The sequence below is a fragment of the Homo sapiens genome, chromosome 18, assembly GCF_000001405.40.
Source record: "Homo sapiens chromosome 18, GRCh38.p14 Primary Assembly".
Lineage (NCBI taxonomy): Eukaryota > Metazoa > Chordata > Mammalia > Primates > Hominidae > Homo > Homo sapiens.
The window spans coordinates 77,913,095-77,928,175 of record NC_000018.10 but is presented as its reverse complement, the minus strand read 5'-3'; the positions used below and the strand labels follow the sequence as shown (position 1 = coordinate 77,928,175).

Sequence of the window (15,081 nt, the reverse complement as noted above, 5' to 3'; positions counted from 1 at the left end):
AGCATCTTTAAAGTAATTTTTTAAAAGTCTTTGTCTATTAGATCTTTCATTAAGTCTTTTTCAGGGACAGTTTCTATTGATTAATTTTTTCCTTTGAATGAGCCACACCTTATTTTTTTGTATGCCTTGTGAATTTTTTTGTTGAAAAATGGACATTTGCATCTAAAATTGTGATAACTAAAAATCAAATTCTCCCTTTTCCCTATTTTTTTAATGTTTTTTAAGTGATTTTCTTTTTCCTGTTTTCATCGTTGTAAGTTCTCTCTGTGCTGAAGATCAGCCTGAGGTGTAAACTTAGGGTCTTCTCAGGTTTTTTTCTGAGTCTTAGATCACTTTCTAATTTTTCCCATATATGCAGTTGCTTTTGTACTAACCTGTAATGTCTCGCCAGACTTTTTAAATTCCGTGGAAGTCACTTCAGCTGGAGTGGGAGGGGCCTGCCACCATAGGGGAAGGTTAAACAACAATGACCACTTTGTCTGCACCTCTTTGATTAGAAGCAGCAATAGATGAGCAGAGCACAGATCCTTGATATTTGGAGGACAGGGTCTATTTGCCTACCCTGGTTTCCACAAGCTGCGTGCAGAAACACGTGTGCAGCTGCCTGCCGTGGGGCTAGCTGGGATGAGTAGCTGCTACTCTGTTGTGAGCTGTAAATTAACCACACTTTAATGCCCGCGCTTTTCCCTGGAAGTTGGAAACCTTCAATGGCCTCCAGAGTTCCAAAATAGTTACATCAAACAGATTCTGCCATGAAAGTGTTGTCTCTGTGGGGAGGAGCCCTGGTGTTCCCTCGTGTCGTCTTCCCAGAATCATCCCAGGCATCACTCCTACGTATTTCTGGTTTTCATTTTGGTGAATAAAGAATCCCCTTACATTGCTAAATCATATGCTTCGCCTACATTTTTTGTCTATGTAATGTATAGAGAGTCTATTGAGGTTTTGCTGTGATAAATGTGGATTTAGCTGTTGTAGTTTTATATGTATATAAATACATAAAATGCAACATATTTTATATATAAATATATAAAATGCAACATATTTTATATATAAATATATAAAATGCAACATATTTTATATATAAATATATAAAATGCAACATATTTTATATATAAATATATAAAATGCAACATATTTTGGCTTATAATGCAATATGTTATGGCCATATAAAATTATATATATTAACTATAATATTATATATTATATATATATATATTATATATATTAACTATAATAATCATATATTAATATGATTAATCATATATTAATCATATATTAATCATATGTTAATTTATATATAATATATATGATATATTATATATATATCATATATATTATATATAATATATATATATAATATTATATGATTATATGATATAATGTATGATTAATATATAATTAATCATATATTAATTAATGTATGATTAATATATTATATTAATATTAATATATAATATTGGTAAATATAATATTAATATATAATATTAGTATATAATATAACATATTAATATATGATTATTATATTACATAGAATGTCATATATTATATATTACAATGAAATATATAATGTCTATATTAAATTATATATAATTAATATTATATATTCTAGTAAATTATATATATAATTTTATATAGCCATAATATGTTGCATTACAATGTATATAAAATGTGTATTATATAACACTTATATACATACAGATGTATGTGTGTAAATACACATATAGAGCCCTTCATTATTTCCTCTGTCATTACCTTTTCACTTAAATTTTAAATCTTTAAACAATTTCTCCAGACTTCACACTCTGTAAAGCAAAGACCTGACATTTCCTACGTACACCGTCATCTCTCCTCCCTAGATTCCACCCTTGACTTCCATCATATCTACTTCAGATTTATAATAAACTTTCGATTGTAGAACAGATTTAGATTTACTGAAAAACTTAGGTACTTCAGAAAATTTACCCCTGAAAAATTGTGGGAAATTCTTTAGTCATTACTCTATCAAATAGAAGAGTGATTAAAAGTTCAAGCTCCAGAGTGACTGATGGTCCAAGCTCGGCAGGCAGACATTTAGAGTTCAAATCATGCTTTTATGATTTAAGAACACCATGACCTTGGTAAAGTTACTTGACTTTCTGATGCCTCAGTCTCTTTATACTTAAAATGGGAACAATAATTTCACAAATATTATATGATTATAGGCTTATAAATATTTATAAACATTATAGGATTATTAAAGAGTTAAAACATTTATAACACTTAGACCAGTACCTTTAAACTGGTGAATATGTATATATTAGACTTTGCTGGATTATTACCTATCTTTCAGTCTCTATTCTAACTTTCTGGGACATTGATTATTGTTATTGCACTGTTATCAATGTTGATTATGTTAAACCTTGCTGTTTTATCTTTTCTATCTCAATTTATCTTTCATTATTTCCTTACCTTGTCCACCTATTATTATGAGTAATTTTTTTTCCTGATATATCTTCCAGCTCATTGATTTACTTCTTGGCTGATTTGAATCTGATGTCTTAAACATCCATTATTTTTGTTAGTTTGTTTTTATCTGCAACATCTGTACTTGTAAAATTGTAGATTAAATAAGTTCTAAAACAAATAAATTATTTAACAAATAAGATTATTTTTCAAATCTACTTAACCACTTTTTGAAAAAAATTTTTGAGACAACATCTCATTCTGTCACCCACGCTGGAGTACGGTGGCGCAATTTGAGCTCATTGCAACCTCTGCCTCCCAGGCTCAAGCTATCCTCCGCCTCAACCTTCTGAAGAGCTGAGACTACAGGTGTGTGCCACCATGCCTGGCTAGTTAATGTATTATTGTAGAGGTGGGGTTTCCCCATGTTGCCCAGGCTGGTCTCAAACTTGTGAGGTCAAGTGATCCGCTCGCGTTGGCCTCCCAAAATGCTGGGATTACAGGCATGAGCCACTGCACCTAGCCTCTACTTAACCACTTTTTCTAATGCATTATGGCTTGCTTATCTTTAATCCTATCTTTTATATCCTGAATTATTATTTTTTTTGTAAACTATTTGGGATTATTCAGTTCCCTGAAGTACAAGAAGGTCTAATTTGTTGTTGCCAATTTGTCCTTATTTTCTCTGGATTTCTGCTTGCCCTCATATATGATGGCATCATCCTTTGGTTATTATTATTATTTACCTTAATCCTGTGTACTGAATTGAGGCTTCACTTACACAGATAATATTTACTTATTTTTTCAGGCACTGAAAGAGAGTAACAACCTGGTATTATCTAAATTGAAACACCCTACTTGGGTTCCCATAACCAAACTGAGATCATACATTTGAAGTCAAGACAGAATCACAGAGATCTATCATTCCAGATTCTCAAAGGATGCTGTTTTTCTTGTTATTACTGAATTTCCTAACCAGTCCCATTTCCTTCTCAGTTCCTTTCTCTGCAAGCAGTCGGTGTTCTAAGCTGTCACAAGAGATGTGTCCCATCAAGAGTTTCTGAGAGCCTTTGCGTTGCCGTGGCCGCCAGCTGTGAACGCCGATCATAACGTCATGTTCCTATTTGCCATCAGTTGCAAACCTCAAATATTCTGCCTTTTCATTTGTTCTCAGGAAAAGGTATAGGAAAATATTTTGTTTAGAAATATAATCTATCATACTGCCAGAAATAATGCCCCACTTTAATTTTAAACTGCATGATATTATTAATCATATTGTCATTTTATACAGTCGATGCTTATTTACATTTATATGTGTGTTTACCACCATCTTTTTTTGTGACTTTCATTTCCACATCTCATTTTCTTCCTTCTAAGGAACAACTGCTTTCCCTGTAATTACCTTCCTTATTTTTACTTTGATTTGGAGTCTATGTGTGATAAACACTCTGAATCTTTGAATACACATTGATTTTATCTTTAGTTATAAGTTAAAAAATTATTTTATTGTGGAAATCTAAGTAGATAGCTATTTTTCTTTACAACTTAAAAATGTTCTTCACTGTATTCTAGCCTCTATTTTTGTTGATGAGAAGACAACTACAAGTTGAATTGTTTAATAATCAGTCTTTTCTCTTTGCTCGCATTTATGGTTTTCTTCTAACTTGATGTTCTGCAGTTTACTACAATATATCTGGGAATATGTTTAATTTTGCTCTTCTTGCTTAGTCAGTCGACGTGCTTCTAAAATCCAAGGAACTGCTAGTTTTGCTCTCTAGATAGAGGAAAGGGAAGAGGATGAAGAGGAGAAAGGGGGCCATGCCAGAAAAAGCATTTGTTTTTAACAAGAAAACAAGATCATTTTCCAAAACCTCATTCAGTCATTCTTCAGTTAGCTGTCACTGGCCACGAGTTGTTACTATGACAGACAGAATCGAACTGGAAGTAAGTTAAGTATTTGTATGTGGCTATTCTACTAGTCAGGATTCTCCAAAGAAACAGAACAAATAGGATGTGTACATACATATAGACATAGACATACACGTAGACATAAACACAGGTACAGTCATAGACATAGGCATATAGACATAGACGCACACATAGACACAGGCATACTTATACACAGAGACATACAAATATATATACACATACAGACACAGACATGGACATGGTCATACATATAGATATAGGCACACATAGCTATAGACATACAAATAGATATACACATATACATACACAAAGAGACATAGACACATAGGCATAGACATACAGACACACACACACATACACAGAGACATACAAATACACATAGACATAGACATGTACGTAGACACAGACAACATATACATACGGACTAGACATACACATAGACATATACATAGAGACATAGATATTGACATACATACACATAGACAGGTAATATACGTAGACATATGCGTATACAGACATAATAGACATAGACATAGGTATAGATAGAGACATAGGCATAGACTAGACATAGACATGTACGCATACACATGTACAATGAGAGAAAGGAAATTTTAAGAAATTAGTTCATGCAATTTTGGAGACTGGCAGGTCTGAAATCTGCACATAAAATTAACTGTCACAGGCACATTGTTTTCACGCACAAAAAAAATCCATATTTTTTGGCATGGAAGAAGGAAATACACTTATCGGGTTGGCAACCGGCAGAGCGTGCACATTTACCCAATCAGTTAGAGGCAGGGCAGAATGTCCTGTGGCTCAGGCAGATGAACAAAAGATGTCTAATCTCTTCTACACTCAAAATGGAACACAGGCAATACCACACGGACTGAAATGTAAGTGTCAAGAATAGCCTGGGCCTACTGTCTCAAGGGAGGCTTAAAACTGGCAAGTACTTTGGAGTTCTACATCTGTCTTAATGAAATGTTTGCTATACATTGCATACTTTTCTGGACACGGAGCAAAAGGGTTGAAGATTTCATGCAGAATTGTTCCTATAGGGCATTGCAACTTGAAGCTGTATACAAAATTGTAACAGTCTTAGTTCGCTTCAGTTTGGAGAGATAAAAGTAGGCTTGACTTTGGCCAATGCTGATACTGCTTTAGCTTGGTCAGTTTTCAGAAGATGGGGCTTCATGTTCAGAGACATTTGGTATTTTTGCAAGCATGAAGTTATGCATGCATGTGTGTGTGTGTGAAGATGATTAAATGTTATGCTAAGATATCCTCCCTGGCTGTCAGGAGCAGGTAGGAGGATCCCATTATCTAAAGTGCAACATACAGATGAGTTTCCCTCATTCATGTTGCAGAAGAATGAAATCTAGGCTCTGTGGGTGAAGTGAGGCTTTGGTTGAGATAGATTTGAAAATTAGTCATATGCAGAAAAATCATCAATCACACTTGAGATCTGACGTTTCACATATTCATTCAGGAAGGACTGGAGGATGCAAACAAAGTAACAAAATGGATTACGAGGCGCGAGCCTGGTCACCAACACCTTCTAATAAAAAGTAATAACCAACATGACATATAGGCCATTGTCAGGAAACTCACTCTCAGCCGCCCAAGATCCTTGCTTATAAGCCACAGACTTGGAGAACAGGGGTCCCGTTATGATGCCAAAAATGTCCCGCTCTTGTTTCCTAAGAAATAGTATTAAGCAAGCTGACTTTAATTTGTAAAATATGCGATCTAGTTCCAGTAACATAACTGACATTTTGATATATAACTCTGTCTTCATATGTGCTTGTACTTGTATGTGTATGCAAATATTCATACATGTATATATATATTTATGTACAAATACATCTATAGGTATGTTTATGTATAAGTGCGTCTATATATGTATGTTTGTATATATATGTGTGTGTACACACATACACACAAATTTCTCCTAAAAAAAAGGCAACATCAACGGGTCAACTGTTGTCAAATATTTTAATTATTTATTTGCAAAATGTAATACAAAATAATTGAATACATTTTAGTAAATACACTTCTTTAATATAAAGGCTATATCTAAAGAAACACTGAATACAACACCCCAAGCTATTTTATCTGTATTTTAAAGCATTCAAATTGTATACCCCATTCCATGGCCTTCCATTTATGAAAACCGCATGCATTAGATATTATTTAGTAGCTTCCTCCCTGTTCTACAGAGACGATTAAGGGGTGAACAAGCCAGAAATAGTTCCTGCCTTATGGAGCTTTTATTCTAGAAAAATATATTGTTTACATATTATATTGTTTGATTTCTTTCCACTATATTTTTATTTCTGTCACAAATTTCTATCCTTGGTCTTCACCTCCTTGCTCCTGTATCTAGAACAATGTCTGGCACGCATCGAGTGCTGCAAATGAACAGGTGTTAAACAAAACAAAAGGCTTGGGCAAGGAATTTGGATGCGGTCAGATTCCTCTAAGGAGCTCATCGGGAGCTCAACCTGGTCCATTGAGGGGAAAAGGTCCCTGATGAAGTTCAGCTGTGCAACCAAAATGAAATCAAGTACCTTTCCTTCCTAAAGCTCATGTAGGAAAAAGGATTTAATTCAGAAGTTGCTGCTTCAATCCCCAATCTATCACCAAATGGCTCCATGTTATTTAACATCTCAACACCTGAACTCCTTCATCAGCAAAAGTTCCTTGCTCAAGGTTAAGAAATAATTGTTTTTTAAAGTATCATCTATGCAGCGTTTACCACAAACTAAACCTTAAGAAATAATAGTTCGCTTTTAAAATTATATTAACGTAATTTTAAATTGTTATTTTCTCTCTCAGCAGGTAAACTCACCAGAAGATTTTGCTAAAAATATGGTAACAGTAACTAGAACTCTTGCTATTTTTTCATCCCCGCAAAAGCAAGGTTCTCATGGTTCAGGGAAAGCCTGGGTTTTGGGAGTCAATGAGCAATGTTCTGTAAATTCAACAAGAACTCCGTGTAAACATGAAGCAAGTCCTCTTTTAATAAAAGTGTGTTCTGGAGATAAGATAATGGGAATAACAGCAAACTGATTGTAAGACCCCAAGCTTGAATGCAAATGCTAATATAACTTGTGAATTAAATAATGACATTCAAAATTTTGTTTGTTTTGCTCTAGAATATACTCATCTCAAATAAAATCTTGAGGAAAGTGAAAAACTTGTACGTAAAGCTGGAAAAGACCAGGGAGAAGTGAAAAGTCGTTCTGGAAAAGCGGTTCTGGAGCCTGGTAGTGGCCTCCAGTGGTGTGCGGGACAGGGCGGTCAGCTTGGGAGGACAGGTGGTCAGGCGCTGAGGACTTCGAGCTGCTTGGTGTCGGGCTGGTGCCTTGATGTTGGTCAAGCTGCCAATATTGACTGTGGAAATCGGCACATACCACAGAGAAGGACTGTTTTCCCCCAGAGAACTAAGTGTTAAACATTTTCACCAACAAACCAGTACAGATTTGCAACAAGGGCTTAACCTCTCTGGGGTTCAAACACTACTTGTGAACAATAAGGTAAGAACAGGCTGCTGTGAGAACTGTGTCATTGCATGCAGACAACCTGCAGGTGTAAGCTCACAGTAAATGTGCATTCTCTTTATTGGGAAAACCGTTAGGACATGGAGCTAGTTCTTGGGCTGACTCAGAAAACCATGTGTGAGGCGGCATGGCCCCACCTTCCCTGCTGAGCCCCGGGTGTGTAAACATTTGTAGAATAATATGCCATCGTGGAGCTTTGCATTCTAAAATGATCTTCAAATGAATTTTTTTAACTTTCTGAAATGCTCAAGACTCAAAAAATGCTTATTCATTCACCACCCAAAAGATACAGGCTGACTCCACCCAGTGCATGTTCCAAAGCTTTGTCCAATGTGTCTTTCTGAATTTTTATCTGAATAACCTGAATCCTGTATTCTGCGAGCCCGTCTCCTGCCTCTCACAAATATCACTCTAATTTCTTTATATTTCATATTCTTTTATAATTCCTTATAAGCACAACAGCAAGGGAATCGCAATAACTCTACATGAACACGGAGTTTGCGCAAGAAATTTTCCACGTATCGCTTTGGTCCCTACAACAGTTCTCAAAATTGCGTATTATATGTCCACATGCACTAACTGAAGAAAGGAATTTCAGAGAGATTCAATTGCCCGCATTCATGTACAACTAATAAATGAATGTGCTGGGATTCAAACCTAGCCCCTTCAAATCTCCAAAGTCCGCGTTCCTACCGACCCACCTTTCCTCCATCTGCCTGCCCGTCCATCAGTGCCCACCCGATCACCTGCTCTCAGGACACCATGAGTGGTCTCCACTGAAACACTTAGAGTCTCCCCGTGCCTTATTTCTTCAGAAGTGACCCAACGGTGCAGCTGCTGGCTCAGGAGAGGAAAGTGGATCTGGCCTGTCTGTCCTGATTTGTGTCTCTCTGAGGCCCTGGGCACAGGGCTCTGGGCTGTGGCTGATGGGCAGAGGCCCTGGAGGACGCCCAAGCTTGGTCACTGGTACTAGTGACTTAGAGGCTGCGTCCTTTGAGTTCAGAGTCTCAGTACGAGGCAGCCTTCCCTGGACACACATAGGAGCCCCTCTCTCTGGTCAGCGTCATCGGTGCAGCTGATGCTGCTCTGGGCTTCCTCACAGTGACTTCAGCAATCCTAGGACACATGTTAGCACCCACCAGTAGCACGCTTGCCCGAAACGTCTGGAGAACTTAGTTTCCACAAACCATCCATTTTCTGGTTTCATGTATTGTTTTCCCAGTGAAAATCAATGCTCAGTTTCCAGATCTGTGATCCCTGGGTCTCCCATGATCACATTGGCCTCTGTTTCCTTCCTGGCACAGTGCTTCCGTTACCATGGTTGTCCAAGATGGATCGGGTTAAACATTAGCTGCATCCACATTTCATGTGGAGTCATCTAAAATGCCTTTCAATTCTCAGCTGTTTTCTTGTGTTAGGCATCTTTTTTAACTGTTCAGGTCACCCTTTCACTCCAAGTAGCTACAGCCAAAAGTTAACTTTGTATCATGTCCATATTCCTATACAGACTAATTTTTTCACAAAGCCTGATTTTCAAAATAGTAGTCAGACAAAAGACATGGATATCCAGAAAACAGACTCTTAGCCTCTAATTTCCATTTGTTTTCTAAGCACTTGGATAAAGTGAGTAAAATTAACTTCAAATTTGAAGAAAAATTAATTTAAATAATTTTCCAAAAGGCCAAATGGAGATTGGGGATAAAGCAACCTAACCCTCTGTTTTTGTTTATCTCATTTTAAAAAATAATTCTAAGTTTCTTTCCTAACACATATGGGAGAAAAACATACGTGACTAATTACCATTTCTCTGTAAAAGTTTTCTGATTGATTCAGTTCTTTTGTTCTGGCAACAGAACTGATGAGCTCCCCACCAGGCACAGCAGAGAAGAGTGCAGAGAGAATCCTGACCTCATGCAGCTTGCATTCTGCTGGGAGTAAGGACAGTGAACCAACACAGAAATAAAAACTCAGCCAGATGTCAAGTAATGGTGAGTTTTCTGAAGAAAAATACAGCCAGGAAGAGAGAAGTTGTCTCTCAGAGGACAGCTTTAGCCAGATATTCCTTAATCATCCTCTCTGGAGAGATGACATTTGAGAAGGCTGTGGATCAAACAGAGGAATGAATTAGATGAAGACACAGAGAAAGAACTTTGACTTGAGGCAGCAACGAGCTTGGCTGCTGGAGAAAAGCAAGAAGGCCACATGGCCTGCTGGGGTGAGTGGTGGGTGAGAGGGTGAGGGGCAGCAGGAGACGGGCCCGAAGCAAGAACAGTGCCCAGACTGCTGGGCACTTTGTAATGGAAGGTGGGGGACTCTCCTGGTGTATCGGAAAGCCCCTGGGGGCTTGGAAGTGGGCACAGGGCTGCAACGTAAACGGCTGTGTAGACCAGGATCACGGGGATGGTCAGGGAGAAGAGGCGGGGAGGCTTGTAACACTGTTCACACAGAGCCGGGAGGATTCAACATCGGATGTGTCATAGATTGAGAGAGCATTAAACATGCCTGCATGAGAGTATCATTGAATCATGGTGACATTAATTAAGATATTACAAATACAGGAAGAAACAATTTTTTTGTGCAGTGTGAGGAGAATCAAGAGTAACGTTTCATGTGTATGAAGTCTGAGGTGAGTATTCAATATTTGAATGGAGATGAGAGGCAGGCGGTTGTCTAAATGAGTCCGGAATTCAGAGCAGAGGTCAGGGCTCAGACATCAATTTGGGAGTCAGAGACATATTGCTTGTATTTGACAGAGGACAGAAACTTGGCACCTCAACATGTAGGACTTCAGAACAAGAGGAAGAGCCAGACCAAGGCTGTAAGTCTGTGTCCTGTGAGATGAGAGGAACATGAGAACAGTAGTGGTCCCCAAAGCAAATGAAGAAATTGCTTCAAGGAGGGGAGACTCAGTTTGTCAAAAGCTACTGAGACATCCATGTAAATGACGTTTGAGGCTTGGCCATTTTCTGCGGGAGACTGGGGTAAAAGAAAACATTAGAGAAGTTTAGAGAGAGAGAGAGTTGTCAGAGAATGAGAGATGTATTAGGTAACTGAAGTAAATGCCCTTCTTTCCATCTTTGCATCATGTGGTAACAATTACTAAACAAGTGTAATGCTGTGCTTTGGACGAAAGAGCAGAAAGACCAAAGGCTCCCGGATCCATAAATGTCTTTTCAAGATGTGACGGGTGCCCATTTCTAGACTTCTGTTTGCTGAGCCCACTGTTCATTAGGTCTCATGGATTTTCAGCCAAACACAATTTCTAGGTGATATGACTAGATTTCATCAACAGATAATTTCCCTCATGCCAAGAGATAGATTACATAAGCTTCCACTGGCCTTTTATATTTAGAGACACCTGTTGCTTTTAGATTTGAATGGCATTATGATTCAATGTAATATTCTTAGTTCAACTTGTCATTTCTCATAACTTTGCAGATATTGTTTCCTTTCCTTTGGTGATAGAGAATTCTAAGATCAACCTGACATTTTCTCGTGTAGTTAATTTGATTTTTTTTCTATCTGGATGCCTAAAAATGATTTCCTTATCCTTGCAGTTCATAAAATAAGGTGTGCTTCTGTAGTATACATTTTGTAAGTGGTGGATATTTCTTGGAAAATGATCTATTTTCTGATAGGTAGAGACAGTTCTTTATTAACTTCAGAGAATTTCTCATATCTTTGAATATATTTTCTGAATGACAATTTGGTATCTCTGTTTCAGAATAGTGATTATCTTTTTGTGAGATGTTCTTTATCTCCTATCTATTTGCCTTACTATTTGATTTTAATTTCTATATTTTTGGTTTTCATTCATTGAAACTATTTAATTGTAGTTACGTTTACTCTGTTCCTGTTGGCAATGTATTTGTTTGTTTTATAATTAGATGGCCTTAATATTCAATTTATTTCTATAAGTTTAAAAGTTTCCTTTTAATCTCTTTCTCTTGCTTTGTCAACGTGTTTCTGCATCATTTTTAATTGATTCTTGAATCCACATTCTTATCAAGCTTTTCTATAAACCAATCTCAAGGCTATATCTAGTGTTTTCTTATAAAGTAAACATTGTGTGTATTTTTCTTTTCTGACCTTTCACCTGCAGACTTTTTTATATTGCTGTCATGAAATTCCTTTTCATGTGGCTTAAGCATAGAATGTTCTGTCTGGGGTTTTACTTCCTTCCATGCAGCATTGATGGCACTTTACAATTACCTTTCCCCCCACTATATCTGAGAACAGGTTTTATTTTGTATCTGCCTTTCCCTCCTCTAAGGTACTGTGTGAGAGCTAGAATGTTGGCTTCATCCACGCTCGGTAGCTGAAGGGGTTCAGGGGGTGAGAGGGGAGCTGCCTTTGCTAGTAAGCCTGTGCTCTGTGGCCTCTGGGTTTCCTCGACATCTATGCCAGGGCTGCTGAGCCCACCTGGGCAGACCTCACCCTCTGGTGGTGAAAGACACCCACAGGCCTGGGCCACTTCTTCCCGTGATGTGCAGTCCTGAAGGCCACGTTTATCCAGGGGAGAATTGGCTCACTTGTTCACCTTCCTCATTTTGCCCATTTCTATTTAAAAGCTGTTTCCCAGCTTCTAAGACACCCATTTCACTTGCTGTTTTTCAGAGTGGGGATGTAAGAATTTACAGGAAGTCTCAAATTGGTGACAGATGAATTCTGTGGGGCAGGGGCAAAAAAGGAGGCCAGCCTTGCTGTTGGGGTTTTAGGTAGAATGTCATTAACATTTCCCACCAAACACAGAGTGTCTGGTTCACCTGCCACGAATTAAATTGGGGCAAGAGTCTCCAATGTAAAGATGTGGTCCTGGTTCCTGTGCTTCAGTAGAAACCTAAACCCAGGTCTCCGGGTGACTTGTAACTCTTGCATTTGAGTTTTTGTTGTTTCAGAAAAGTTCCAGGAAGAAGCTCAGCCCTAGGAGAATACAAACCGATTGGATCAGGAGACCCCTGAGTTGGAGATGAACATTGGTAAACTCCCCTCATTGCCGTGGTGAACTCCCCTCGTCGCCGTGGTGAACTCCCCTCACTATCGTGGTGAACTCCCCTCATCACTGTGGTGAACTCCCCTCATTACCATTCTAAAAACCTGGCCCAGGGAAGAGCTTCTCTGCCATGTTCTACACATTCGATGCATGAAGAGGCATGATCGGTGATGGCCTCCCCTGCCTCCGCTCCACCTCTGCACGTGGTGACTCAGCTCACAAGCCCAGGAGAAGCCCTGTGTCACCGTGTTCGGGAGGCGCTGTTTTGGGAGCTCTCCCTGGTGTTCTCCTGACTTGTTACAAGTGATACAATCCCCTTGTTAAAGCCTCCTTGGTTGTGGTGACTGGCTTGTCGCTCGCCAAGCTATCGAACCCACCTGTTGTGTGGGCAACAGAAATAATTATCAGGACCCGTGTGGGTTGTACTAAACAGAAGCGCAGCCAGAAATGATGAACCTATGGCACCCACCACTACTTCTCCTCTCCATGTGTGGTGCTTTTAAAAGAAGTCCACACGTTTCTTGACATCCCTCTGCCCATCAACTGCTGGGGAGTGTCCTCCCCTTGAATATGGGCTGAACGTAGGCATTGGACCGCCATTGGCAGATGGTGTAAATACGTGATGTGACTTCCCTGGCAAGCTCATCAAAGGCAAGTGCAGGCTCTACCTGGTTTGCTGGAATGCTGGCGCCGGAGCCTGAGTTGGTGAGAGGTCTCACCCACCTGAGCCTCCGTGCTGCGAGAAAATCAAGATTAGCTATGCAGAGTAGACGCATTGAGAGGCATCAGGGCCTCAAGAAAAGAGTGAGGCTGGCCGGTCCCATGTGCCTGAGAGCTCTCTGTCTGCTCCTGCTACCATCCAGCCGCATGAGAGACCTTCTGCAAGGACAGCACAGTGAAGGCATTCCTACATTTTCTATTCTTAGACACCACAAGGGATAATAATCGACACTATTTTAAGCCACTATATTTTTTGGCAGCCACAGATCATTAGATTCCATTAATTCACTGACACTGGGCCCCTGTGGCTGCTGTGTCTCCCAGTGTCCCTCAACACCTGACCAAGCAGCCATTGTCAACTCTCTGGAGTTACTCAGGGCAAAGCTTTTCAACCATCCCTAAATGAAGCTGTTATGGAGGTGGGTCTGGGGTTGCAGACTGTGGAAGTCTGTGGCTTCGCTGGGGTGCACAGGTAAAGACCACAGTCACCGGGGTCTTAGCTGATGAGAGCAGAGCACACAATGGTCAATGCCCCAATCCCCAGCAGCCAGGTGCACCTGCCCAGCACCCGCCCAGCACCCACCCAGCACCCGCCCAGCACCCGCCCAGCACCCACCCAGCACCTGGAAGGCTTCAAACAGGTTCCAACATTTCTATTGTGTTTGGTATTTCATAGTATGATAATTGATAATTGCCATATTTGACAATTCGTATTAAGAATTTCTGGCTGGGTCTGGTGGCTCATGCCCGTAATCCCAGCACTTTGGGAGTCCGAGGCAGGTGGATCACCTGAGGTCAGGAGTTCGAGACCAGCCTGGCCAACATGGAGAAACCCTGTCTCTACTAAAGATACAAAAATTAGCCGGGCATGGTGGTGCACACCTGGGTGTAATCCCAGCTACTAGAGGGGAGCTGAGGCAGGAGAATTGCTTGAACCCGGGAGGTGGAGGTTGCAGTGAGCCGAGATTGTGCCACCATACTCCAGCCTGGGCAACAAGAGAGAGACTCTGTCTCAAAAAAAAAAAAATTCTACGTGTAACATGCCATTAAAGAGTTTTGAAACCATTGAGTTATAGCAAAACTCACATGCACACACACACACGCTCTACTTTAAAAGGCAAAGACCAACAGCTGTTTTTTTAGCCCTACGTGTCTCACTCCGTGATAATCGCAACTCTACATGCTCAATTATTAGAGGTCTTTAAAATATGTAATTGGCTGACAGAGGTGAACTAGCTACACACATATGGAATAATCGTTTGGAATTCATCAACAATAAAATAATAAAAACCGAAGACATTTCCAATTTTATAAAGACAGATAATTGTCAAAAGTAAAAGAAGGAAAATAACAAACAAACTTCTAAAGTCTATGCTCAGTTGGTGTTACCAACCAGCAGTGTGCATTTCTGATATGGAATTTGTTTTGTTTTGT

General features: G+C 39.3%; 1 annotated feature.

Moving 5' to 3' along the window:
- Window positions 9,923–10,157: a silencer, noted in NCBI's record as "fragment chr18:75629975-75630209 (GRCh37/hg19 assembly coordinates)". NCBI's record gives its function as "represses an EF-1alpha promoter that drives an FKBP-Casp9 reporter gene in an ReSE screen in K562 erythroleukemia cells {active_cell/tissue: K562}" and the evidence as "EXISTENCE:reporter gene assay evidence [ECO:0000049][PMID:32094911]".